This window comes from Homo sapiens, chromosome 14 (assembly GCF_000001405.40).
Source record: "Homo sapiens chromosome 14, GRCh38.p14 Primary Assembly".
Classification (NCBI taxonomy): Eukaryota; Metazoa; Chordata; class Mammalia; order Primates; family Hominidae; genus Homo; species Homo sapiens.
This window is the reverse complement of record NC_000014.9, coordinates 22,929,589-22,957,106: the sequence shown is the minus strand read 5'-3', so window position 1 is coordinate 22,957,106 and position 27,518 is coordinate 22,929,589. Positions and strand designations below refer to the sequence as shown.

Sequence of the window (27,518 nt, the reverse complement as noted above, 5' to 3'; positions counted from 1 at the left end):
CTTCCCCTTCCCGGGCCTTTCAGCTTGGTCTTTCCGGGCCTCGCTTCCCCCAGCCCCTGCGCCCGGCCCGAACGAGAGGTTCCGGAGCCCCGGCGCGGGCGGGTTCTGGGGTGTAGACGCTGCTGGCCAGCCCGCCCCAGCCGAGGTTCTCGGCACCGCCTTGAGAGCTTCAGCTGCCCCAGGGTGTGCAGGTTTGCTTTAGAGGGTCGGCGGGCGGAGCTTCGGGGAAGAGGAGCTCTGGGAGAGTCATTCCGGCCAGTGGCCGGAGACCGTCGTCGCTCTTGGGAATCCTTGGCCGCCCAGACAGAAGGGAAGTAGGCGCCGGAGAGCCCGTTCTGCATTTTGATTCATCTCGGGCCCTGTAAGGGTCATATCTTGTGAAAATAACCTGTAAAATCAATTTAACGTTCAGTGCAGCGTGTAAAGACAGCTCTAAGAATTTAAAAGACGCCTGAGTCAGAACATTTAAATGCTTGGGTCCCTGTAGCAGCGTTTTAACACGTCTGAGTGCAGAGGGTGGAGAATCGAGCCTGATTGCCGTTCACGCCCTGTAACCTTTAAGAAGGGTAAAGAAAGGCACCCTAAAAAACGCAAGGGGACACTTACCCTAGGGGGGGACGAACAGCTAGCTTTTTGGAATTTGGGTTGGTCTTCATTTCCAAGTGCGAAATTTGCCTGCAAAACTTTTTATTTGCAGTCATAGATCAACGATAAACAGAATTGTTAAAACACTGAACTTAACTAAGTAGTGGCTTTTGTTGACAAGTCGATTGTGTTATTAATTCTTAATGTCTCATCCAAGGCAGGAATCGTTATCTCAGTTTTGCAGGTGGGAAAAGTTTGGCACAGAAAAAAGCATTTTCCTTAAGTTCTCAGAAGCAACGGCCGGCCGAGCTGCAAATTAAGTCCCAGCATTCTGCCTCCTCAGCTGCGTCCCCCTCTAGACCATGTTAGAAAACAAATGAGTAGTTACTTTGATGTTACTCATAAAACGATCGAGTAAACCAAATGTTCTATAAACATGAAGCGTTAAATCATAATAACCTTCAATGCCTGTTCAGCTTTGGGAGGCTCAGTTGCCCTTTGGAGTTTGATACCTTGCAGAGAGGAGGGGCAGAGCAAAAACATGAAAAGTAATGTCAAGGGAAAATTTTTGTCTCCTGAGGTCAAACTGTGCCCATCTTTACTGCCCCTGTGTTGGTGTCATTCCTTTCAGCGCACTCCATGTTCTGGCAAAACACCCACAGCTCACGTTCTCGTTGTAGCCACATTACACCTTTGCATTACTCTTTTGCCACTGACCTCACTGTCAGTCTTCTTGTCACGCTGTTTCCTCCAGGTGCTCTTTTCTTAGGCTGTTATGTGAAAACCAGTTGTTCAAGTGTGGAATGATTTGTCATTCCTGAAGGATGATTCTAGAGTTAATGATAAAAAAAAAAAAAACTACCAACAGATCTTAGACAAAAAAAGAAGCACAAAAAAACTATTATGGAATTTGATAGCTGAGTTATTTGGGGGGAAAAAGTAGACTTTGATTTTTTTCCCTTTTCCCCCAGTTCACTCATAACTGGGAAGCTGCAGCTCAGTTTTAACTTTGGCATAATGGTGGTGGTGGTGGAGAATCCTCTTGTTTAGACTCAGTGAATTGGAAAGTTCTCTTTTTAGGATGCTCCTTTTGGACAGCTTGGAGCAAGTGGAAACACATGTGTGCTTAGAATGTGACATGTTTTGGCACTTGTAAATCTGTTTGTCCATAAAGCTTGTGTAAGAGCTTGGGACCCAGGATGTGTGGTATAGGCCCTCTGTAAAAGTCATCCTTGAGGTTCCTTTCCAGCTTGTGGACAGCAGAAATTTGAACATAAGGTAGTGTCCTTGGAGCAGCCAGCTGTTTATTCATCTTTTTGTTTTCTTTCACTTCTTGGTTCCACAGATTAGAATCCCAAGAAAATCAAATGGCATCCGGGGATTTCTGCTCACCTGGAGAAGGGATGGAAATACTTCAACAAGGTAAGAGTAGCCACTTGCAAAAGGTTTGATGATTTATCCAGAGAGGTCTTATCCAGGTTCTTGCCTTTTCTAGTAAAAAGCATTTATTGGCTCACACCTGTAATCCCAGCACTTTGGGAGGCTGAGGTGGGTGGATCACGAGGTCAGGAGATCGAGACCATCCTGGCTAACACGGTGAAACCCTGTCTCTACTAAAAATACGAAAAATTAGCTGGGCGTGGTGGTGGGTACCTGTAGTCCCAGCTACTCCAGAGGCTGAGGCAGGAGAATGGTGTGAACCTGGGAGGCGGAGCTTGCAGTGAGCTGAGATCGTGCCACTGTACTCCAGCCTGGGCAACAGAGCAAGACTCCAAAAAAAAAAAAAAAAAAGGATTTATAAGTTTCCCCAGTATGGTTTTCCTCACAGAAGCATGTGTTTCTGAGGAAACTGGAATACATGAAGATCCTTGAACACTCTCTTATTGGAAAACAGACTACACTAATTCCTGTTAATGTTGGTTCAATATCTGCTTGTGTAGTAGGCTAAAAACTCAAGATGCTCCCATGCTGATGTTAGCAAGCATATTATAAAAATAAGGGTAGCCAGCAAATTCCTTGAAGGTGTCCTTCCTACCTGTGTCTTAAATATTCTCATATCTTAGTCTCCAAAATTTCAGATCCTTCTATATCCTGAGTTCTTTCCATATCTCAGATCCTTTCTATATCTTGAATCCTTCAAGAGCTTGCATTTTCTATATCTTGACTATTTCCATATTGGATGCTTCAGTACCTTAGGGAAAAAGAGAGATTTCTTATTTCCCAAAAAGACTTTGGGTATAATGTTCCAAAGAATGAAAATTTGGGTGTTTTGGCAAGTAGAGGTAAAAGACCCCAACAGAGAGCATATGGAAAAAGAAATGGAAAGAAAGCTCCTTGAGCATATGGAAAAACCAGAGGATCTCAATTTCTTACACTTTTTTCTCATGCCTGTGCTGTTTTGTATCTACATGGGTTACTCAACTCTACTGACAATTATAAGTATTTGGGCCAGCTGGCCAGGTGTGGTGGCTCATGCCTGTAATCCCAGCACTTTGGGAGGCCAAGGCGGGCGGATCACCTGAGGTTGGGAGTTTGAGACCAGCCTGACCAACATGGAGAAACCCCGTCCCTACTAAAAATACAAAAATTAGAGGCTGGGCACGGTGGCTCACACCTGTAATCCTAGCACTTTGGGAAGCCGAGGCGGGCAGATCACGAGGTCAGGAGATTGAGACCATCCTGGCTAACAAGGTGAAACCCCGCCTCTACTAAAAATACAAAAAAAAAAAAAAAAATAGCTGGGCGTGGTGGCGGGTGCCTGTAGTCCCAGCTACTTGGGAGGCTAAGGCAGGAGAATGGCGTGAATCTGGGAGGTGGAGCTTGCAGTGAGCCGAGATCGTGCCATTGCACTCCAGCCTGGGTGACAGAGTGAGACTCCGTCTCAAAAAAAAAACAAAAAACAAAAAATATTAGCCAGGCATGGTGGCGCATGCCTGTAATCCCAGCTACTCGGGAGGCTGAGGCAGGAGAATCGTTTGAACCCGGGAGGTGGAAATTGCAGTGAGCCGAGATCACGCCATTGCACTCCAGCCTGGGCAACAAGAGCAAAACTCCATCTCAAAAGAAAAAAATAAAAAAGAATTTGGGCCAGCTGTGGTGACTCACACCTGTAATCCCAGCACTTTGAGATGCCAAGGTGGGAGGATCACTTGAGCCCAAGAGTTCAAGACCAGCCTGGGCAATGTAGTGAGACCCTGTCTGTAAAAAAAAAATTAGCCAGTCATCGTGGTTTGCCTTGTAGTCTCAGCTCCTCAGGAGGTGGAAGGATCGCTTGATCTGGGGAGGTTAAGGCTGCAGTGAGCTGTGATTGTGCCACTGCACTCCAGCCTGGGTGACAGAGTGAGACCCTGTCTCAAAAAGAAAAAAAAAAAATTGGTTAGTTGAACGTTTAACTTACTCTAAGTGTATTCTGTTAGTCTTGTTTATGCGACTACATATCACATCCAAAGTTGGAACTTCACGTGTTGTGTTTCTTTCCCCCTACTTCAAGAACTCTATTAATTTTGGATGAATGAGGCATTTTGTGTATTGTGATTCCTACTAACGGTCCCTTAATTTTTATTCTATTTGTCTAATATGTACCAACTGCATTTCCGTTTCCTAAGATCTTAGTTTATTACTTATTCCCCCTTAATATCCTTGTATATAATATAAATGCTTGTTACCTTGAATATTACCCTTGTTTATTTGTGGATTTTTAAAAAATCTCATTAGATTTAGCAATCTTTCCTATAAAAATCCTAGGGGTTTTTTGGAAGTATTAAGTTATGCTCAGTTATGTAAAGTAAGAGTCCACACCTTTTTTGTTTTTTTGTACCTGTGGGGACATGATGTTAAGTGTGCAGCAAACAACTTCCTCCTTGTAACCTGAGTAAAGAGGACCTGTTACAGAACCCATACTTCAGCAAGCTTCTCCTGAATCTCTCACAGCATGTGGATGAGAGTGGCTTAAGCCTCACCCTAGCAAAGGAGCAGGCTCAGGTAAGGGCTTTGGGAGAAGAGATAAGAAGAAGGGAAAATCCTGAGAGAGAGGTTCCTACCTGAGATTTTTTGGATTTCTAGGCATGGAAGGAAGTTCGACTGCATAAGACAACATGGTTGAGGTCTGAGATTTTACACAGAGTCATTCAAGAGTTGCTTGTGGACTACTATGTGAAGATACAAGACACAAATGTAACTTCTGAGGACAAAAAGGTGAGGCAAAGGCTGGGCGTGGTGGCTAACACCTGTAATCCCAGCACTTTGGGAGCCCCAGGCAGGCTGATCACTTGAGGTCAAGAGTTTGAGACCAGCCTGGCCAACATGGTAAGACCCCGTCTCTACTAAAAATACAAAAATTAACCAGGTGCAGTGGCACACGCCTGTAATCCCAGCTACTCGGGAGGCTGAGGCAGCAGAATCGCTTGAACCTGGGAGGCGGAGATTGCAGTGAGCCGAGATTGCGCCACAGCACTCCAGCCTGGGTGACAGAGCGAAACTCAGTCTCAAAAAAAAGTGAGGTGAAAGAAATGAGGTGGGGTTGGTTACCAGTTACAGGAATGACCAGGCCAACTGTGGCTTTGTCTGATGATGTGATCTAGGGGAAGTAGGAGCTTTGAGAAATGGTTTGTCAAAAGAGAAATGGACTGTAGTTATGGGGAAGGAGTGGATGTGTTATCAGAGTTTGTAATAGAAACATTGACAGAAGTCACTCGCAGCTGAGTTATCTGAGGGGGGATGATATATTTGAGGACTTTGAAAATATGTGAAAAACTGGTTCATAAGGATGGAAGAGGTGGAGTGGGAGAAGTTTTATAGTTGCCTCTTTTTGTTTTTTATTCTCTCTCTCTCAGTTTCATGAGACCCTTGAACAGCGGCTGCTTGTAACTGAACTGATGCGGCTCTTAGGTCCTAGCCAGGAGAGGGAGATACCTCCACTGCTGGGGCTGGAGAAAGCGGACCTTCTGGAACTCATGCCACTCTCAGAGGTTGGCGGGGAGATATTGGAACCAAATAAATGAAATGGTTTAATTTCTCCCATATCTTTAAAATGTTTTTTTTGTCAAGCTTTATTGTTTTTGTAAAAATGATACACATTCAGGGTGGTCAGACTCAAATAAGAAAAACGTTACACAGGAGCAAGTAAAAGCTGAAATACTGCATCTAGAAGCACAATATTATTATAAACAGCTTGACATAAATGGTATTATACCCTTCATGCTTATATAGAGAGTATAAGGCCGAGTGTAGTGACTTCCGCCTATAATCGTAGCACTTTGGGAGGCTGAGGTGGGAGGATCACTTGAGTTCAGGAGTTCAAGACCAGCCTGGGCAACATAGTGAGACCTCGTCTCTACCAAAAAAAAAACAAAACAAAAGCCAGGTTTGGTGGTGCACACCTGTAGTCCCAGCTACTCGGGAGACAGAGGCAGGAGGATGACTTGAGGGTGGGAGGTCAAGGCTGTAGTGAGCTGTGATCATGCCACTGTACTCCAGCCTGGGCACAGAGTGAGACCCTGTCTCAAAAAAAGAAAAGTACAGTCTATTTTCATGTAATATATTTTGGATTTCTTTTCAAGTCAATACATAAATGTAAATAAGATGATAGCTTCTATAGCACTGTTAGCAAAGTATCTAGGCACATAGTGCTTAGTGTTATGTCATCAGTTTAAATCTCTGCTAGGATTCTATTATATGGATGTAGAATAATTTGCTTAACCTTATTGGTGGATATTAAGGTTGTTTCCACATTTTTGCTGTTAGAAACCACAGGGAGATGAACATGCTGGTTCATATGTGTCTTTACCTTTGTATGATTATTTCTGTAATGCTGGTGCTAAAAGTGGGATTCCTGAGTCAGTGCATACTCATACAGAATATTGGTACCTAATGCCAAACTGCTATCCAGAAAGGTATTTTCAGGGCTCCTGGATCCCCCATGTTCTCACCAACATGGGGTCTTGACAGTCATTTTATTCTTCGCTAATTTGATAGGTGAAAAATGAGTCTCTCTGATGTCTCTTGATGCATTTTCTTTGGCTATTATTGAGGTTATCATCATGTATTCATTGGCTGAGACGTCCTAGTTTTTACAGTCTATTCGCATTTCTGCCTTTACTTCTATGACTGTAGGATTTTGTGTGGATGAGGGCTCGGCTACAGCAAGAAGTAGAGGAGCAGCTCAAAAAGAAATGTTTCACTCTGCTCTGCTACTATGATCCCAATTCAGGTGAGTGCTAGCTGTCTGTTCTGCTCACAGCTGGACTTCAGGGTTCCTGGTCTGCTCTTTTGAGAATAATATATTTTGATTTTAGATTTGGGACAGAGGTTTAGAACCATCAGAGATGCTTATTTGTTTTGTTGCTGGTAGAATAAAAACAAGGACTTTTTGTTTTTTTGTTTTTTTTTTTTTTTGAGATGGCGTTTTGCTCCTGTTGCCCAGGCTAGAGTGCAATGGCGCCATTTCTGTTCACCGCAAGCTCCTCCTCCTAGATTCAAGTGATTCTCCTGCCTCAGCCTCCCGAGTAGCTGGGATTACAGGCATGCGCCACCCCGCTCGGCTAATTTTGTATTTTTAGTAGAGATGGGGTTTCTCCATGTTGATTAGGCTGGTCTGGAACTCCCAACCTCAGGTGATCCGCCTGCCTCGGCATCCCAAAGTGCTGGGATTACAGGTGTGAGCCACCACACCCGGCCAAAACAAGGACCTTTGTAAGGACTCTTTTTATTCAGCAAGATACTGAGTGGGAGTGTCCTCCTGCTGCAGGGAAGGATGAGTTCTCTCAGGAGGTTCAGAATGGTTTAGGGAGGAAAGTTCAGACTCATAGAACACCTTATACTCTCTGTATAAGCTTGGAGGGTATAATACCATTTATGTCAAGCTGTTTATAATAATGTGTTTCTAGACGTAGTATTCATATTTCAGCTTTTACTTGCTTCTGTGTAATGATTTTCTTATTTGAGTCTGACCACCCTGAATGAATGTGTATCTCTTTTTTTTTTTTTTTTTTTTTTGAGACGAAGTCTCGCTCTGTCCCCCAGGCTGGAGTGCAGTGGCGCAGTCTCACCTCACTGCAAACTCCACCTCCTAGGTTCACGCCATTCTCCTGCCTCAGCCTCCCGAGTAGCTGGGACTACAGGTGCCCGCCACCACGCCTGGCTAATTTTTTGTATTTTTAGTAGAGACGGGGTTTCACCGTGTTAGCCAGGATGGTCTCAGTCTCCTGACCTCATGATCTACCCACCTTGGCCTCCCAAAGTGCTGGGATTACAGGCGTGAGCCACTGTGCCTGGCCCTGAATGTGTATCATTTTTACGAAAATAATAAAGCTTAACACCTGAGTCTGAACTTTCCTCCCTAAACCATTTCTTTTTTTTTTTTTTTTGAGACGGAGTTTCATTCTTGTCGCCCAGGCTGGAGTGCAATGGCGTGATCTCAGCTCACTGCAACCTTCGCCTCCGAGGTTCAAGCAATTCTCCTGCCTCAGCCTCCCAAGTAGCTGGGATTACAGGCGCCTGCCACCCTGCCCAGCTAATTTTTTTGTATTTTTAGTAGAGACAGGTTTTCACCATGTTGGCCAGGATGGTCTCAAACTCCTGACCTCAGGTGATCTGCCCGCCTTGGCCTCCCAAAGTGCTGGGATTACAGGCATGAGCTACCACACTTGGTCTCCTTAAACCATTTCTATGACTTAAGAATTAAGGTCCGGGCCGGGCGCGGTGGCTTACGCCTGTAATACCATCACTTTGGGAGGCCGAGGCAGGTGGATCATGAGGTCAGGCGTTCGAGACCAACCTGGCCAATATAGTGAAACCCCGTCTCTACTAAAAATACAAAAAATTAGCTGGGTGTAGTGGCGGGTGCCTGTAATCCCAGCTACTTGGGAGGCTGAGGCAGGAGAATTGGTTGAACCTGGGAGGTGGAGGTTGCAGTGAGCTGAGATCGCGCCACTGCACTCCGGCCGAGGTGACAGTGAGAGACTCCGTCTCAAAAAAATAAAAAGAATTAAGGTCCAAATCCGGAATCAAAGGTAAGAGTGAAGATAATTTATTTAATAATTATGAGAACCAGATGCCCTCCCCCCCCCCGCTTTTTTTTTTTTAAAAACTCTGTCACCCAGACTGGAGTGCAGTGGTACAATCACACCTCACTGCAGCCTCGACCTTCTGGGCTCAAGTGATCCTCTCACCTCAGCCTCTCAAGTAGCTGGCACTACAGGCGCATAGTATGCCTAACTAATATTTTAGAATTTTTTTTATAGAGACAGAGTCTCACTATGTTGCCCAAGCCGGTCTTGAACTCTTGGGCTCAAGCAATCCTCCTGCCTTGGCCTCCCAAAGTGCTAGGATTGCAGGCGTAAGCCACCATGCTCAGCCCAGAATGGGGCCATTTTTAATAGATTATTAGAAGAAAACCTGTCATAAGGCAGGATTTGTGGGTCTAGATACAGGATAGGGGCACTGGAAGGTTGCTTTACAGGGATTGTAGCGATTAGGGTTTTCCTGTCAGTCCTCTGCCCCTTTGCTCAGATGCTGACAGTGAAACCGTGAAGGCAGCAAAGGTGTGGAAACTCGCAGAGGTCCTGGTGGGTGAGCAGCAGCAGTGCCAGGATGCCAAGAGCCAGCAGAAGGAGCAGATGTTGCTGCTGGAGAAGAAGAGTGCTGCTTACTCCCAGGTTTATCAGGGCATGGGACAGCCCCTTTCCTTTATCCTGACCCCAGGAGCACTTTTGGGGAAGACAAAGATTCCTGATCTACCCTCCTTTCTACTATCTTTATTTATGCCCTCTTCTTCCTCCATCTTGGGCTCAGGTGCTTCTCCGCTGCCTCACTTTGCTGCAGAGGCTTCTTCAAGAACACCGGCTGAAGACTCAATCCGAGCTAGACCGCATCAATGCCCAGTACCTGGAAGTCAAGTGCGGTGCTATGATCCTTAAGCTGAGGTGAGCTGTGACCCCTGTGGATCTTAAGGGATTCTGTCTCACGTTATCAGCCCTCTATCCCTTACCCTAATCTCTTTCCTCTCCCTTATCCTAGCGCCTTGTGGGTATCCAGTAAATGTCACATAGCAGTATTAGCTTTTGGATTACCCAAAAGCTTTCAACATCCTTGAGACTTTTCTTTTACAGTCTTCTGAAATAGGCACTTTACTGTGAGATCAATTGCTCGGGAATTCAGAGTGACCTTGTTTATCCTATCAGTGCTTAGCCCACACCTTGACCGTCGGCAGGTACTACGTCCATTCCCAACCCTGCTGCTATCAGGGACCTTCCTGCCTTGACATTTCTTTCTTCCCTCTGTCAGGATGGAGGAGCTAAAGATTTTGTCCGACACTTACACTGTTGAGAAAGTGGAAGTTCATCGTCTGATTAGGTGAGAACTCCTAAGAGTCTGGTACAGCTGTTCACAGGTGGTTCTCACATTCCCTAAACTCGTTTATTTAAAGATGTTGCCATTTTTGGCTGGGCACAGTGGCTCACACCTGTAATCCCAGCACTTTGGGAGGCCGAGGTGGGCAGCTCGCTTGAGTCAGGAGTTTGAGACCAGCCTGGCCAATATGGTGAAACCCTGTCTCTACTAAAAAATACAAAAATTAGCTGGGCATGGTGGCATGTGCCTGTAATCCCAGCTACTCGGGAGGCTGAGGCAGGAGAATTGCTTGAACCCAGGAAGCAGAGGCTGCAGTGAGCCAAGATCATACCACTGCACTCCAGCCTAGGTGACAGAGCGAGACTCCATCTGACAAAAAAAAAAAAAAAAAAGTTTTTCATTTTTGTCCACTACTTTCTGAGGAGCAGCACCCTTATATTGTGCCTTCTCTGCCCGGGCTCTTAGGGACCGTTTGGAGGGAGCCATTCACCTACAGGAGCAGGACATGGAGAACTCAAGACAGGTCCTGAACTCCTATGAGGTCCTTGGGGAGGAGTTTGACAGGCTGGTGAAAGAGTACACCGTACTCAAGCAGGCAACAGAGAACAAGCGGTGGGCCCTCCAGGAGTTCAGCAAGGTCTACCGTTGAGCTCTGGCAGGGCCAGGAGACATGGCTTCTGCATAGCTGCTGCCTCCTAATCTTCCTGCTAGTGGGACCACCTTCACCTGGGGCTGCCTTCAGTACAAGGGAGTGTGGAAATGCTTACGCTTGAAACACTGCAGTCATTTAGGCACTCTCCTGGTTTCTCTTTATTTTTTATGACTGGGCCTCTTCTGGAAAATCTAGCAAGGAGATTTATATAATTTTTATGCATAGCTGTGTGTCAGTGTCAGCCCTGTATTGTATTTGATTATCTCCTGAATAAAGTTATGATATTATATCTTAGGATTTTAGTCATTTTCCTTGGGCAAAGATTGAAAAAGAACATTGAAGGCTATATGGGTAAGGAGCGGGGAACTGAGTGGATCCAAATAGAAACAGATACATGATGCTTATGCAAAGAGTAAGAAGTAGACATGCCAGCTTGCCTACATCAAGTCTTAGAGCCTTCATTTTGGAAGAGTACAGTGGATTAAATTTGGGCTTGCTCTTGAAGAACTATAATCTCCAGAGGAGTGCTAGATACTCAGGCAGGTAGGGAACTATTTTCTCACTATGGGTATCAGTGTGGGAGTTATAATAAAGCAGCTGAGGCTGGGAGCAGTGACTCACACCTGTAATTCCAGCACTTTGGGAGGCCAAGGCAAGAGGATCACTTGAGCCCAGCTGTTCGAGACCAGCCTGGGCAACGTAGCAAGACCCCTGTCTCTGTGAAAAAAAATTTTTTTTTTTTTTTTTTAGACAGAGTCTTACTTTGTTGCCAGGCTGGAGTGCAGTGGTGTGATCTCAGCTCACTGCAGCCTCCGCCTCCCAGGCTCAAGCAATTCTTGTGTATCAGCCTCCCTAGTAGCTGGAATTAACAGGCATGCACCACCATGGCCAGCTAATGTTTGTATTTTAGTAGAGACAGGGTTTTACTATGTTGGTCAGGTTGGTCTCAAACTCCTGACCTCAAGTGATCCGCCCACCTTGGCCTCCCAAAGTGCTGGGATTACAGGCATGAGCAACCACACCCAGCTGAAAAAAATTTTTTTAATTAGCAAGCGTGATGGTATGTGCCTGTAGTGCCAATTTCTCAGGAGGCTGAGGCAGGAGGATCACTTGAACCCAGGAGGTCAAGGCTGCAGTGAGCCATGATGGCACCACTGCACTCAGCCTGGGTGACAGAGTGAGACCTTGTCTCAAAAAAAAAAAAAAAAAAAAAAAAGGCAGCCAGTGGCCAGCTCAGTTATAGGAAAGGACACAAGCCACTTGTGTTCCTGGTTCCCTTGGTGTGGTTTGAGAGCTACATTTTTCTCTAAAAGCAGAGGTTTGGAGGAGATTCCCCCTGAGGAACCAAGTTCAACAGTCTACTTAGCTTAGAACAAGGCAGAGTCCTGGCTGGTGTCAAAATAGGGGACTGTGGACAGAAACAGAAGGCCTCTACCTTTATTTAGAAGAGCCTACTCAGTTTCTGAAACCACTTTCCAAGGAAATTGTCTTGGGGTGATGGTGTGGATTTATTTACAAGACAATTAATGTCTTTGACTCAACTTTTTTTTCTCTTTTTTTTTTTTTTTTTTTTTTTTTTTTTTGAGACGGAGTCTCGCTCTGTCGCCCAGGCTGGAGTGCAGTGGCGCAATCTCGGCTCACTGCAATCTCTGCCTCCTGGGTTCAAGTGATTCTCCTGCCTCAGTCTCCTGAGTAGTTGGGACTACAGGCACCCACCACCACGCCTGGCTAATTTTTGTATTTTTAGTAGAGACAGGGTTTCACCATATTGGCCTTGCTGGTCTCGAACTCCTGACCTTGTGATCCGCCCGCCTCGGCCTCCCAAAGTGCTGGGATTACAGGCATGAGCCACTGCACCTGGCCAAAAAAATTTTTTTTAATTAGCTGTGCATAGTGGCATGTGCCTACATTTCCAGCTACTCAGGAGGCTAAGGTGGGAGGACTGCTTGAGTCTGGGAGGTTGAGGTTACAGTGAGCTATGATCATGTCACTGTATTACAGCCTGAGTGACAGCAAGATTCTGTCTCAAAAAAAAGAAAAAGGAATAGAGTTATGGAAAAAGCAGCGAAGACAGAGAAAAGGAAAGAAGCACTATGGGAAGGCACAGAGTTAAGAATGGGCAAATCATGTACCAAGGAGAGCTTTCATTTCAAGTGAACAAAATTTGAAACAAATATCCTATAGCTTCAATCGAGAATCTGGAGAGCTGGGGTTTGAGAAACATTTCAATTTCGACTGCCTGAGAAATGGCTTCCAAGGCAGTGGTCCTCACCCTGGCTCTCTAAATGGCATGGGGATGGAGAGTGAGCTATTTCTTGTATTCTTAAAAAGCCTAAAGAAAATGGGCTGGGCACAGTGGCTCATGCCTGTAATCCCAGCATTTTGGGAGGCGGAGGTGGGCAGATTGCCTGAGCTCGGGAGTTAGAGACCACCCTGGGCAACATGGTGAAACCCCATCTCTACTAAAATAAAAAAATTAGCTGGGTGTGGTGATGCGTGCCTGTAGTCCCAGCTACTCAGGAGGCTGAGGCACGAGAATTGCTTGAGCCCCGGGAGGCGGAGGTTGCAGTGAGCCAAGATCGTGCCACTTCACTCTAGCTTGGGCTACAGAGTGAGACTCTGTCTCAAAAAAAAAAAAAAGAAAAGAAAATGGAACATTTGCTTGCGACAGTTCTCCACACACTTTTTTTTTTTTTTTTTTTTGAGATGGAGTTTCGCTCTTGTTGCCCAGGCTGGATCGTGCAATGGCGCAATCTTGGTTTATTGCAATCTCTGCCTCCTAGGTTCAAGTGATTCTCCTGCCTCAGCCTCCCAAGTAGCTAGGATTACAGCATGCGCCACCACGCCCAGCTAATTTTGTATTTTTATTAGAGATGAGGTTTCTCCATGTTGGTCAGGCTGGTCTCGAACTCCCGACTTCAGGTGATCCACCTGCCTCAGCCTCCCAAAGTGCTAGGATAACAGGCGTGAGCCACCACCGCGCCCGGCCCTGCACAAACTTTTTTTTTTTTTTTTTTTTTGAGACGGAGTCTTGCTCTGTCACCTGGGCTGGAGGGCAGTGGCCCGATCTCAGTTCACTGCAACCTCCGCCTCCTGGGTTCATGCCCTTCTCCTGTCTCAATCTCCCAAGTAGCTGGGACTATAGGCGCCCACCACCACGCCCGGCTAATTTTTTGTATTTTTAGTAGAGACGGGGTTTCACCGTGTTAGCCAGGATGGTCTCGATCGCCTGACCTCGTGATCCGCCCGCCTCAGCCTACCAAAGTGGTGGGATTACAGGTGTGAGCCACTGCGCCCGGCCCAAACTATTTTTTAAAAAACTTCATTGGCTTAAAACTAGAGCACATGCAGGCTGGGCGTGGTGGCTCACGCCTGTAATCCCAGCACTTTGGGAGGCCGAGGTGGGTGGATCACCTGAGGTTGGGAGTTTGAGACCAGCCTGAGCAACATGGAGAAACCCCGTCTCTACTGAAAATACAAAATTAGCCGGGTGTGGTGGCACATGCCTGTAATCCCAGCTACTAGGGAGGCTGAGGCAGGAGAATCGCTTGAACCCAGGAGGCAGAAGTTGCGGTGAGCCGAGATCGCGCCATTGCACTCCAGCCTGCGCAACAAGAGCGAAACTCCATCTTAAAAAACAAACAAACAAACAAAAACAACTAGAGCACATGCTTTGTAAAAATACTCAGAACAGAATTATATACAGTAAAAAGTAAAAGATTGAACCATGCACCCTCAGACACCCCCCACACAAATACCCTGTTACTCCAATCTACCTCCCCAGAGTAACCAGAGTGATTTGGTGTGTAGATCACTGTGTGTCAGATCTGTTTCTATAAATATGCAACCATATGTACATAAATATTAGCTAATATTAGCTGGGCATGGTGGTGCTCTGATAGCCCTAGCTACTCAGGAGGCTGAGCCTAGTAGTTAGAGGCTGCAGTGAACTATGATTGTGCCAAGGTACTCCAGCCCAGGTGACAGAGCAAGACCTTTGTCTCTAAAAATCAAATCAATAAAGAAAAAGTTTTAAAAATGTGGCTAATATTATTATTAGAGTATGGCTGTATTATCATTTAACCCTTCCCTTCACGATATTAAGGTTGTTTCCCTCTTGCCCTGTTACAAAAATGCTTCATTGGATGTCATTGCACATATATCTTGCTCAGGTGCCTTTGCTTTCTGCTGGTATTACAGTAAATCAGTATATTAGTTATTTTATGGGAAAAATAAACTTTTTTTTTTTTTTTGGAGACAGAGTCTGACTCTTGCCCAGGCTGGGAGCAGTGGCATGTTCTCGGCTCACTGCAACCTCCGCCTCCCAGGTTCAAGCGATTCTCTTGCCTCAGCCTCCCGAGTAACTGGGATTACAGGCGCGTGCCACCACATACAGCTAATTTTTGTATTTTTAGTAGAGACAGGGTATTGCCACGTTGGCCAGGCTGGTTTCGAACTCCTGACTTCAGGTGACACGCCTGTCCTCGGCCTCTCAAAGTGCTGGGATTACAGGCATGAGCCACTGCGCCCGACCAGAAAAAAATAAACTACTGATTGAGCTTATGAATGTAGTCTGGTGGAAAAAAAAACTTTCAAAACAGTTCCTTCGTAGGGGAAAAGGAACAAAAATCATGTCCACTGCGGCCTGAGGGAGCACTACAGCTGTTTCTCTTGGTGCATTCATTCTGCACATTGACTGGAGGTGGAAGACTTGTTGGAGGTGCCCTTCATACATGCTGCTCTCTATTGTGGCAAATATGGGAAGGAGCTTTGGAGGACAAGTAGAAGGGTCTGCATGAAAGTGACAGCTGAGGGGCCGGGCGCCATGGCTCACGCCTGTAATCCCAGCACTTTGGGAGGCTGAGGCAGGTGGATCACGAGGTCAAGAGATTGGGACCATCCTGGCCAACATGGCAAAACCTCGTCTCTACTAAAAATACAAAAATTAGCCAGGCGTGGTGGTGCACACCTGTAGTCCCAGCTACTCGGGAGGCTGAGGCAGGAGAATCACTTGAATCTGGGAGGCAGAGGTTGCAGTGAGCCGAGATCGCGCCACTGCACTCCAGGCCTGGCAACAGAGCGAGACTCCTTCTCAAAAAAAAAGAAAGTGACAGTTGAGGGTTAGCATCTTGGACCTTAGCTGCTCTCTTTCCCTCACACTGCTTAGAAAAGATTTGCATTTACTGCCTCCCTTCGTTCTTTCACAGTCGAACCTCTCTTTACTTGCCTCTTACCACATCTGGTAAGTCTTATAGATTCTTCCCTTGTAATGAGAGGCAAAGGAAATCACCTTCAGAACTTGGAACAGGATCAACTCTGGGACTCTTGGATAAACAAAATCTGTTCCCTGAATATTTTCAGTGAAAGGTGAATATGGAGGTGTCCTGGGGAGTGACTGCATTCTTCCTCGGCCACCACAAACAGGAGACCCAGCGCCCCCTAAGGGCCAACTTTGGCATCTCCAAAGGAGAAGGGTGCCCCTCACCCTATAAAGAATCTCTCCATATTGGCTGGGCGCGGTGGCTTACGCCTGTAATCCCGGCAATTTTTGGAGGGGAGGCTGAGGCAGGCGGATCACTTGAGGTGAGGAGTTTGAGACGAGCCTGGCCAACATGGTGAAACCAGGTCTCTACTGAAAAATACAAAATTAGCCAGGTGTGGTGGTGCGCACCTGTAATTGGGAGGCTGAGGCATTATAATAGCTTGAACCTGGGAGGTGGAGGCTGCAGTAAGGCGAGGTGAGATGGGGCCACTACACTCCATCCTGGGCGACAAAGCAAGACTCTCTTTCGAAAAGAAAAAAAAAAGAATCTCTCCATATGATCCATCTTGAAGGACCTGGACTAGGTTTTGTTAAAGGAACTAGCAGGCTTCCTTATCCCTTGAGACAGCAAAAATACGAGTGAATTTACAATGGACTAAACAATGTGTAGAAATAATTTACTCTAAAAGATGGTTTGTTTTTGAGTTGCTGAGGTCCAGCCAAAGTGGCTAACTTCTGGTCTCAGGAAAAAACAACTGAAGTTTGGAGAGTCCTAAATTTACCAAGCCTGGCTAAATAGTGTGTAACCAACAGCAAATGACCTGCCTAGGATTTAGAAAAGGGTTATCTAAAGAGTAAGGTTGGCTGGGCGCTGTAGCTTATGCCTGTAATCCCAGCACTTTGGGAGGCCGAGGCAGGTGGATCACCTGAGGTCAGGAGTTTGAGACCATCCTGGCCAACATGGCGAAACCCTGTCTCTACTAAAAATACAAAAATTAGCCGGGCATGGTGGCTCGCGCCTATAGTCCCAGCTACTTGGGAGGCTGAGGCAGGAGAATTGCTTGAATCCTAGAGGCAGAGGTTGCAGTGAGCCGAGATCACACCACTGCACTCCAGACTGGGCAACAGAGTCAGACTGTGTCTCAAAAAAAAAAAAAAAAAAAGATCTATATATGATTTATTTTAAAGAATTGGCTCATTGGCTCATGTGATTATGGGAGCTGGCAAGTCTAAAATCTGTAGGGCAGGCCAGCAGGCTGAAAACAAGCAGAAGTAATGCTACAGTTTTTTTTTTTTCCAACTTTCATTTTAGGCTCAGGGGGTACGTGTGCAAGTTTGTTACATGAGTAAACTGTGTGTCACTGAGGGTTAGTGTATGAATGATCCCGTCACCCAGTTAGTGAGCATAGTACCTCCCTCCCTTCCCCTTCTAGCAGTCCCCAGTGTCTATTTCCATCTTTATGTCCGTGTGTGCTCAATGTTTAGCTCTCACTTATAAGTGAGAACTAGCGGTGTTTTGTTTTCTATTCTCACATTAATTTATTTTTCTTTCTTTCTTTCTTTTTTTTTTTTTTTTTTGAGACGGAGTCTTGCTCTGTCACCCAGGCTGGAATACAGCGGCATGATCTCGGCTCACTGCAACCTCCACCCCCTGGGTTCAAGCGATTCTCCTGCCTCAGCCTCCCGAGTAGCTGGGATTACAGGCGCCTGCCACCACGCCCGGCTAATTTTTTTGTATCTTTAGTAGAGACGGGGTTTCACCATGTCGGTCAGGCTGGTCTCGAACTCCTGACCTCAGGTGATCCACCCGTCTTGGCCTCCCAAAGTGCTGAGATTACAGGCATGAGCCACCGTGCCCAGCCCAGCCATGACTTTTTAATTTTCATTTTTTTTTTTTTTTGAGACAGAGTTTTGCTCTGTCGCCCAGGCTATAGTGCAGTGGCACGATCTCTGCTCACTGCAAGCTCCACCTACCGGGTTCACGCCATTCTCCTGCCTCAGCCTCCCGAGTAGCTGGGACTACAGGTACCCGCCACTGCGCCCGGCTAATTTTTTGTATTTTTAGTAGAGGCAGGGTTTCACTGTGTTAGCCAGGATGGTCTCGATCTGACCTCGTGATCCACCCGTCTCGGCCTCCCAAAGTGCTGGGATTACAGGTGTGAGCCACTGCGCCCGGCATGACTTTTTAATAATAGCCATTCTGACTGGTGTGAGATGGTATCTTATTGCGGTTTTGATTTGCCTTTCTCTAATGATTAGTAATATTGAACATTTTTTCCATATATTTGTTGGCAACATCTATGTCTTCTTTAGAGAAGTGTCTGTTCATGTCCTTTGCCCAGTTTTTTTGCTTGTTTGTTTTCTTTTTCTGGGAGACAGGGTCTTACTCTGTCAACCAGGCTGGAGTGCAGCTGCAGCCTCAACCTCCTTGGCTCAAAGGATCCTCCCACCACAGCCTCCCTAGTAGCTAGGACTACAGGCACGTGCCACCATGCTGGGTTTTTGTTTTGTTTTGTTTTGCAGAGACGTGGTCTCACTCTGTTGCTCAGGTTAGTCTGGAGCTCCTGGGCTCAAGCAGTCCTCCCACCTCTGCCTCCCAAAAGTGTTAGGATCACAAGGGTAAGCCACTGCAACGGGCTGAGAAAATTTTAAAATATTTGTTTCCTTTTTTTTCTTTTTTTTTTTTTTTGAGAAGGAGTTTCGCTCTTGTTGCCCAGGCTGGAGTTCAATGGCGCTATCTTGGCTCACCGCAACCTCCGCCTCCTGGGTTCAAGCGATTCTCCTGCCTCAGCCTCCCAAGTAACTACAATTATAAGTGCACCACCAGGCTCAGCTAATTTTTTTGTGTTTTTAGTAGAGATGGGGTTTTACTATATTGGCCAAGCTGTTCTTGAACTCCTGACATCAAGTGATCTGCTGACCTTGGCCTCCCAAAGTGCTGGGATTACAGGTATGACCCACTGCGCCCAGCCTTTTGAGATAATATATTTAAAGTGCCTGGCATGTGGTAGAGCTTAATTAATATTAGCCTGGGCAGGGTATGGTGGCTCATGCCTATAATCCCAGCACTTTGGGAGGCCGAGGTAGGTGGACCACGAGGTCAGGAGTTCAAGACCAGCCTAGCCAAGATGGTGAAATCCCGTCTCAACTAAAAATACAAAAATTAGCCAGGCATGGTGGCGGTCACCTGCAATCCCAGCTACTTGGGAGGCTGAGGCAGAGAATTGCTTGAACCCGGGAGGTGGAGCTTGCAGTGAGACGTGATTGTGCCACTGCACTCCAGCCTGGGTGACAGAGTGAGACTCCATCTCACAAAAATAAATAAATAAATAAATATTAGCCTGGCTAGGACTATCATGTTATGAGGCAAGAATGATTGCTGAAGACTGGATAGCTACACAAGCCTATAGAGAAGGAGGGAGGCCTTGGCTAGACCTTCAAAAGAAAGGACATAAGCACAAAGATCAGGGAGAGGTAACAGGTTTATTTATTTTTATTTTATTTTTTTGAGACAGAGTTTCACTCGTTGCCCAGGCTGGAGTGCAATAGCGCGATCTCGGCTCACTGCAACCTCCGCCTCCCGGGTTCAAGTGATTCTCCTGCATCAGCCTCCCAAGTAGCTGTGATTACAGGCACACACCACCATGCCTGGCTAATTTTTTGTATTTTTAGTAGAGACGGGGTTTCACCATGGCCAAGCTGGTCTTGAACTCCTGACCTCAGGTGATCTGCCTGCCTCAGCCTGCCAAAGTGGTGGGATTACAGGCGTGAGCCACCGTGCCCGGCCAAGGTAACAGGTTTTATATGTATTTTAAAAAATATTTTACGTGTAATATAAACACGCTTATACAGAACATTTGGAAAATACAATTTTTCCACATAGTTGAGGTCATTCTGTGTGTAAAATTTGTAATGTGTGTCTCTTAATGGCATGTCATAAGACTTTCTCCATGTTACTACATTTTCTTTGACAACACTGATTTTAATGGCTGCTGAAGATTTCATTGAGGCCGGGTGTGGTGGCTCACGCCTGTAATCCCAGCACTTTGGGAGGCTGAGGTGGGTGGATCATTTGAGGTCTGGAGTTCAAGACCAACCTGGCCAACATGGTGAAACCCCGTCTCTACTGAAAATACAAAAATTAGCCGGGCAGTAGTGGCGTGCGCCTGTAATCCCAGCTGCTTGGGAGGCTGAAGCAGGAGAATCACTTGAGCCTGAGAGGCAGAGGTGTCTCAAAAAAAAAAAAAAAAAAAAAAAAAAAAAAAATCCACCACTCCCTGGCCTCTTTCTCCTCTCTTTTTGAGTTTTCCTTGCTTTTCTTGTCTGATTTTTATTGCAGATTAACAGTAGAATTATTTTATCAAGTAACAAAAGATTCCATTAGAATTGTGATTGAATGGGCCGGGCGCAGTGGCTCACGCCTGTAATCCCCCCACTTTGGGAGGCCGAGGCGGGTGGATCACGAGGTCAGGAGATTGAGACCACCGTGGCTAACACGGTGAAACCCCATCTCTACTAAAAATACAAAAAATTAGCCGGGCGTGGTGGCGGGCGCCTGTAGTCCCAGCTACTTGGAAGGCTGAGGCAGGAGAATGGCATGAACCTGGGAGGCGGAGCTTGCAGTGAGCTGAGATCGTGCCACTGCACTCCAGCCTGGGTGACAGAGCGAGACTCCGTCTCAAAAAACAAAAAAAAAGAATCGTAATTGAATGTTGTAAAAGTGAGAACTTGAGAAATTAATTTGGTAAGAATTTACATCTTTATAAGATTCATTATTTTCTAAGATTATGGCTTGTTTCTCCATTTTTTTTTTAGTCTTCTATTTTATCTTGCAGCAATTTTTTTTTTTTCCTTTTTGATAGGGTCTTGCTCTGTCACTCAGGCTGGAGTGCAGTGGTTTGATCACAGCTCACTGCAGACTCAACTTCCTGGGCTCAAGCAGTCCTCCCACCTCAGCCTCTTGGGTAGCTGGGACTACAGGTGTGTGCCACAATGCCCAGGTCATTTTTTTTTTTTTTGAGATGGAGTTTTGCTCTTGTTGCCCAGGCTGGAGAACAATGGCCCGATCTTGGCCCACTGCAACCTCCGCCTACCAGCTTCAAGCAATTATCCTGCCTCAGCCTCCTGAGTAGCTGGGATTATAAGTGCCTGCCACCACGCCCAGCTAATTTTTGTATTTTCAGTAGAGATAGGCTTTCACCATGTCGGCCAGGCTGGTCTCGAACTCCTCACCTCAGGTGATCCACCTGCCTCGGCCTCCCAAAGTGCTGGGATTACAAGCCACCGTGCCCGGCTGCTAATTTTTTTTTTGAGACAGGGTCTCACTCTGTCGCCCAGACTGGAGTGCAGCGGCACAATCTCGGCTCACGGTAATCTCTGCCTCCAAGGTTCAAGGGATTCTCTCGCCTCAGCCTCCCGAGTAGCTGGGATTACAGGCATGTGCCACCACACCCAGCTAATTTTTGTATTTTCAGTAGAGACGGGGTTTCACCATGTTGGCCAGGCTGACGCCCAGCTAATTTTTAAAATTTTTTTGTAGAGATGGGGTATTGTTATGTTGCCTAGGCTGGCCTTGAACTCCTAGGCTCAAGCAATCCTCCTGCCTCGGCCTCCCAAAGTGTTGGGATTACAAGCATAAGCCACTGTAACCAGCCTATAATTTTCTTTATGTCAGTTTCTCACATTTTTCAGTAAAGATAAATATTTTATAGTAGTGTTACTGTTACCACTGTGAATGGGGAAAATAATAATCACAATAGCCAATATGTATTGAAGGTTTACTATGTGCAGGGTAGCTTCTAAATGCTTTACTATGTTAACTAATTTAATATTCATAATGACTTTATAAGAGCTATTATTTACATTCCCATTTTGTGGATGAGAAAACTGAGGCCAGAAGGGTTAGGTTCACAGTCCTAGTAAATGAATGAACAGGGCTTTAACGTCTTGCTATCTGGTTTAGCAGGCCATACTCTTAACTATCATATTATTGGGATTTTTAAAAATCAATAATGTCTTCTAACTGGTTAATCTTAGTATATGAGAAGCTACAGATTTATTTTATACTTATCTTACATCAAGTTACTTCTCTGCATTCTAGTATTAATTCTCATCATTTTAAAATGGATTCTTACGCATTTTCTATGTGTACAATCATATTATCTACAAATAATGATAAATTTACCTCTCCCTTCCTAAAAGTTGTAACCCCTTTTTTTCTATTTCCAATCTTATTATATTGGATTTTTCAGAATAATACTAAATAACTCAGTGATGAGACTAGATATTCTTGTATCTTTTTTTTTTTTTTTTAAGAAAAGGTCTCATCGTGTTGCCCAGGCTGACCTCGAGCTCCTGGGCTCAAGGGATCCTCCCATCTCAGTCTCCTGAGTATCTGGGACTACAGGCACTTACAACCATGCAGGGCAGCTCATTTCATCTTTACATAAGTTTTTGATCTTATATATACACATACATGATGAATATCAAAACTATTAAGAATATTTATGGCCAAGTGCGGTGGCTCATGCCTCTAATCTCAGCATTTTGGGAGGCCAAGGCGGGCGGATCACGAGGTCAGGAGTTTGAGATCAGTCTGGCCAATACGATGAAACCCTGTCTGTAATAAAAATACAAAAAAAATTAGCCGGGCATGGTGGCACACGCCTGTAGTCCCAGCTACTCGGGAGGCTGAGGCAGGAGAATTGCTTGAACCCAGGAGATGGAGGTTTCAGTGAGTTGAGATCGCGCCACTGCACTTCAGCCTGGGCGACAGAGCGAGACTGTCTCAAAAAAAAAAAAGAATATTTATAGAAAATGCAGTTAACATACTGTGTTCTCTTCTTTGACAATTAACAACCGTCAAATATTTTTTGTTTGGTTTATTTTTGACCTATTCTATAAAGAAATTTCCTAATACCTTTGTATTAATTATTGGTATAAACCCTAATTGGTTGTATTATATAATTACTATATTAACATACTGTTACGTTTTATTTATTAATCTTAAATATTTTAGGAATCTAACATTTATATCCATAAGTAAGGGTCTATAGCTTTTTTGGGAGTGTTATTTCTGACAGGTTTTGATATTAGATGTGTTCTGTCTTCATAAATAAATTGGGTAGTTTTCCATCTTTTTCTATGTTCAGAACAGTTCCTGCTTTCTATTCATTTTGACAGATAAACACTGTATAATAGAGATGACAAAAAAGAGAATGCAAATCTGCACAGATTATTTTGCCTCAGTAACTCTGCCACTTTCATAGCTGGAGTACAGCCTTGATTGTGAAAAAGAAATTTGGAGCAGTAGGAGGGTCAAACAGGCCATTATTTTGGTGTTGAAGAGTGTGGCTGGCTGGGCAGGCACAGAGATGAGTGAAGGTGGGCCTGGGGAGGGAGGCAAGCGCTGAGGGAGGAGGGGAGCACAGTAGAAGATGCCAAGAGGTTTTCAATGGGCTAGAGGTGTTTAAACAAGGACAAAAGAACAAGATAAGGTGGAAGAATTGGGCCTGAAAGCGAGGAAAGCCAGGGGGATAAGTGGGAGCATTATCTGGGAGTGGGTACCTCTTTCTTCCAGAAAGTCTCCAGTGCTCTGGCCTATTGGTCATTGGCTCCTGTTGGAGAAAGTAACATTATTTCTCACCCAGGGTATTTGCCCTTCTGTCCCACCATTTCCCTATCTTCATCTCAGCCAAGGCAAAAGTCCCATAGTATAACAGTGATTCACACACTTCTGGGCCCAAAAACTCAGCATGCAGAGCAGAGCAAAGCAGAACATAATGTAGACTTCACCAACTTTGACTTAACGCCTAGGGACAGGACCTGTTCAAGGCGCTCTATTTCTCTTCATTCCTTCCCTTCTTGCTCCTCTACAACTCATGTAGACAGACCCACGGTTACATGCTGTGTTTTATGGCACAGGAAAGTGCTATAGAAAAGGCTGAGAGCAACGTGGTATGGAGTTACTGAGAACTGTTCAGCATGATGCTAGCCACAATGCCGAGGCCATTTGGAATGAAAAGACAAAGACAGCACAGACCAAAGAAATTCAGCCCATGTAAACTTACTTTAGGGTCAGTCAGAAATTCTAGGTTCTTTTTACATGAATCCTTTAGAAAATTACTTTAACTGATGGCAAAACTGACATTATTGTTTTATAGATTGTCCTCTCTCCCTGTCACCCATGATGGGTTAGTTAACAACCAACAGAGCAGCTACCTGCTTGACATCAGGAGTGAGATGCCAGGAGCACAGATGGTCCACAATCTAGACAATTAGCTTCTAAAGAAGAAAAAACATCTAACAAGTCTTCTGTGAATGTAGAGTTTGGCTGGGCACAACTAGGGCAGAGAACAAGCAGACCTCCTCAACAACTCTTTCTTTTACCTCTTAAAATGCCAGTGAAAGTGGGGCGTCATGACTCACACCTGTAATCCCAGCACTTTGGGAGGCCGAGGTGGGTGAATCACCTGAGGTCAGGAGTTTGAAACCAGCCTGGCCAACATGGTGAAACCCCGTCTCTACTAAAAATACAAAAATTAGCCAGGCATGGTGGTGCACACCTGTGGTCCCAGCTACTTGGGAGGCTGAGGCAGGAGAATTGCTTGAACCCGGGAGGTGGAGGTTGCAGTGAGCTGAGATCATGCCACTGCACGCCAGCCTGGGCGACAGAGCAAGACTCTGTCTCAAAATAAAATGAAAAATGAAATAAAATATAAATAAATAAAATGCTGGTGGAGTACTCACCCACTTGCTGAGAACAACCATTTATTGGAAAGACCTGGAGGGAAGAATTCCAAATAAATTCTGTAGATACTCCAACTCTAAGGAGGGGGAGCATAGTGACTTCCTTCCAATGAATACAGTATGGAAAGTTGGGGCCGGGGAGAGGGTGGGAGAGAATCACTTAACAGTGGAAAAACTGGATAAACTACTTCTTTTCAGGTGATCAAGGTCAACATTAAGTCATAAATCATGTTCATAGTATGTACCCTTGATATGATGTGATTAAAATAGCACTTTTATTTTTTTGAGATGGAGTCTCGCTCTGTCACCCAGGCTTGGAGTGCAGTGGTGTGATCTCGGCTCACTGCAGCCTCTGCTTCCCAGTTTCAAGCAGTTCTCCTGCCTCAGCCTCCGAGTAGCTGGTATTACAGGCGCATGCCACCATTCCTGGCTAATTTTTGTATTTTTAGTAGAGACGGGGTTTCACCATGTTGGCCAGGCTGGTCTCGAATTCCTGACCTCAGGTGATCTGCCTGCCTCGGCCTCCTAAAGTGCTGGGATTACAGGCCTGAGCCACTGCCCCCGGCAAAAACAGCACTTTAACTCTGTGACCTTCCTTCCCAAAACACAGTCTAATCATGAGACAAACAGACAAATTCCAATAGAGGGGCATCCTACAATATACCTAACCAGTACTCCTCAAAACTACCAAAGTCATCAAAAACAAGGAACATCTGAGAAACTGTCATAGCCAAGAGGAGCCTAAGGAGACATAGCAACTAAATGTCATATGATATGCTGCATGGGATCCTGGAGCAGAAAAATAGTAACGATAATAGTGGACAAAAGCACCTCCAATCACTTCAGGCTTCATGGAGCTTTTTTTTTTTTTTTTTTTGAGATGGAGTCTCGCTCTCTCGCCCAGGCTGGAGTGCAGTGGCACGATCTCGGCTCACTGCAAGCTCTGCCTCCTGGGTCATTCTCCTGCCTCAGCCTCCTGAGTAGCTGGGACTACAGGCGCCTGCCACCACACCCGGCTAATTTTTTTTGTATTTTTTTTAGTAGAGACGGGGTTTCACTGTGTTAGCCAAGATGGTCTTGATCACCTGACCTCGTGATCCGCCTGCTTCGGCCTCCCAAAGTGCTGGGGTTTTTTTTTGTTTTTTTTTTTGAGACGGAGTCTTGCTGTTGCCCAGGCTGGAGTACAACGGCATGATCTAGGCTCACTGCAGCCTCCACCTCCCACCTCCTAGGTTCAAGTGATTCTCCTGCCTCAGCCTCCTGAGTAGCTGGTATTACAGGCGCACGCCACCACGTCTGGCTAAATTTTGTATTTTTAGTAGAGATGGGTTTCTCCGTGTTGGTCAGGGTAGTCTCGAACTCCCGACCTCAGGTGATCCGCCCGCCTCGCCCTCCCAAAGTGCTGGGATTACGGGCGTGAGCCACTGTGCCCAGCCTGGCCTTCATGGTGCATTTTTTAAATGCTTTGGTTTTTCCGACTTTCCTTTCCTCCTCCCCCTGCCCCGACATTATTTTGCTCTTGTTGCCCAGGCTGGAGTGCAGTGGCGTGATCTTGGCTCACTGCAACCTCCGCCTGCCGGGTTCAAGCAGTTCTCCTGCTTCAGCCTCCCGAGTAGCTGGCCGAGTAGCTGGGATTACAGGCGCCTGCTACCACGTTTAGGAGAGACGGGGAGTTTTCATGTTGGCCAGGCTGGTCTCGAACTCCTGACCTCAGGAGATCCACCCGCCTCCGCTTTCCAAAGTGCTGGGATTACAGGCGTGAGCCACCGCGCCCGGCCGGTTTTCCGGCTTTCATTCTTTTGGGGCACTTGCATTGCACCCAGGGTTCCCCAGAACTTATCCTACCCCACACCCTTTTCGTATTTCCTATGGCTCTGTCCCCAACGAGCTATGGTGATCTCAGTCGCATGGCCTCAGTTCTTTTCTTCTAGCGACCTCCATCCAACTTTCTATTACACAGCGCCCCCTAGACGTTCAATTCAGCATGACCAAACCCAAACCCTGATTTCCCAAACCCTCTTTCCGCATTTCTTGCTCACTGCATGGACAGAATCCTAGGCATCACCCCCTACTTTGCTTTCTCAGGACTCCTTGCCAGTCGGTCCCTAAGTTCTGCCAGCGGCGCCTGCGTGGGGTCTCTTGTACCGTGTTCTCCTCTCCATCCTTGCTGCCGAGCCCTCAACACCAGTGGGCCCCCTGCCTTCTGGAGTTCCCATTTACCTCCCTATGTCTTTCCTTGCTTCCTTCCTTTCCATCTCTAGCAGCTAATGACATGAGAAAATGTAGATTCTCTCTGGCCTCCATGCCAGCCAATTTCATGACTGCTGCCCACTGTAATTAATGAATTCCTTTTCTCTATCTTGAGGTGTGTGTGTGTGTTTAGGCGTTTATTTACACCTTTTGTGTTTGAAACACAAAACACTACTTCCTAGAATCACTAGGAAGTAGTAGCTGAGTTAGCAGTTTATTTTAATATGTAACATAGTAAGGTGACAAAGCTCATTTTAATAGCACCAGCCATTAACCCAGTTTTCTCAGTGTTCATATGGACGTAAATAATGACACAAGAAAAACACTTTTGAGGGTAGTTACGGGAAAAGCTGACATTACATGGCTGCATAACCCAACCGACTCAGGATCTGATAATGAAAGCGTGAAGATAATAAAGAAGCATCAAGCTGCGAAAGGAAAGGAAAATTACAAAATGCTCACGCAGCGAAGCTGCGAGGAACCCCACCGAGCCAGCCAGGAGTCGAACCTGGAATCTTCTGATCCGTAGTCAGACGCGTTATCCATTGCGCCACTGGCCCTGAGATGGCACTGTTTCTCTCCGTGATGGTACTTCAAGGTTATACTGCAGGGTTTCATGGGCGGTGTAGTCTCTCAACGGCGTTCTTCAGATAGACTAAGCATTCTGGGAGA

At 45.8% G+C, this 27,518-nt stretch overlaps 1 protein-coding gene, 1 long non-coding RNA gene and 2 other non-coding genes across 6 annotated transcripts, besides 2 other annotated features; 2 read left to right on the top strand and 2 right to left on the bottom strand.

The window, feature by feature from the left end:
• The first annotated feature begins 16 nt into the window (after positions 1-16).
• Positions 17-10,879, top strand: HAUS4 (HAUS augmin like complex subunit 4). Of its 3 annotated transcripts, none has more exons than NM_017815.3 (10): positions 17-183; positions 1,931-2,007; positions 4,424-4,566; positions 4,648-4,779; positions 5,418-5,552; positions 6,697-6,793; positions 9,094-9,239; positions 9,376-9,506; positions 9,868-9,936; positions 10,399-10,879. In NM_017815.3, the coding sequence occupies exons 2-10, from the start codon at positions 1,953-1,955 to the stop codon at positions 10,580-10,582; spliced, it is 1,092 nt and encodes a 363-aa protein (NP_060285.2). In that variant the 5' UTR covers positions 17-183; positions 1,931-1,952; the 3' UTR covers positions 10,583-10,879. The 3 variants fall into 3 exon arrangements, with proteins under 3 accessions (NP_060285.2, NP_001159741.1, NP_001159742.1); NM_001166269.2 differs by having other exon boundaries at positions 17-191; NM_001166270.2 differs by lacking the exon at positions 5,418-5,552.
• Positions 78-157, top strand: MIR4707 (microRNA 4707). The gene has a single exon (NR_039856.1). It is a non-coding gene; the product is annotated as a microRNA 4707 (primary transcript).
• Positions 196-325: an enhancer, noted in NCBI's record as "active region_8155". NCBI's record gives its function as "activates an Ori minimal core promoter by ATAC-STARR-seq in GM12878 lymphoblastoid cells {active_cell/tissue: GM12878}" and the evidence as "EXISTENCE:reporter gene assay evidence [ECO:0000049][PMID:35858748]".
• On the bottom strand, positions 2,415-27,498 carry PRMT5-DT (PRMT5 divergent transcript). Its single transcript, NR_110002.1, has 3 exons — positions 27,355-27,498; positions 23,415-23,464; positions 2,415-2,776 (listed from the first exon to the last, which is right to left on the bottom strand). It is a non-coding gene; the product is annotated as a PRMT5 divergent transcript (long non-coding RNA).
• Positions 27,278-27,367: a silencer, noted in NCBI's record as "silent region_5596". NCBI's record gives its function as "represses an Ori minimal core promoter by ATAC-STARR-seq in GM12878 lymphoblastoid cells {active_cell/tissue: GM12878}" and the evidence as "EXISTENCE:reporter gene assay evidence [ECO:0000049][PMID:35858748]".
• Positions 27,334-27,406, bottom strand: TRR-ACG1-3 (tRNA-Arg (anticodon ACG) 1-3). The gene has a single exon. It is a non-coding gene; the product is annotated as a tRNA-Arg (tRNA).
• Positions 27,499-27,518: the final 20 nt, after the last annotated feature.

Excerpts from the sequence above, each read along its gene's own strand:
- HAUS4 (NM_017815.3), top strand. The coding sequence starts at position 1,953 with ATGGCATCCGGGGATTTCTGCTCACCTGGAGAAGGGATGGAAATACTT. Across the intron at positions 6,794-9,093 it reads CTACTATGATCCCAATTCAG|ATGCTGACAGTGAAACCGTG; the intron begins GTGAGTGCTAGC and ends CCCTTTGCTCAG. Across the intron at positions 9,507-9,867 it reads GCTATGATCCTTAAGCTGAG|GATGGAGGAGCTAAAGATTT; the intron begins GTGAGCTGTGAC and ends TCCCTCTGTCAG.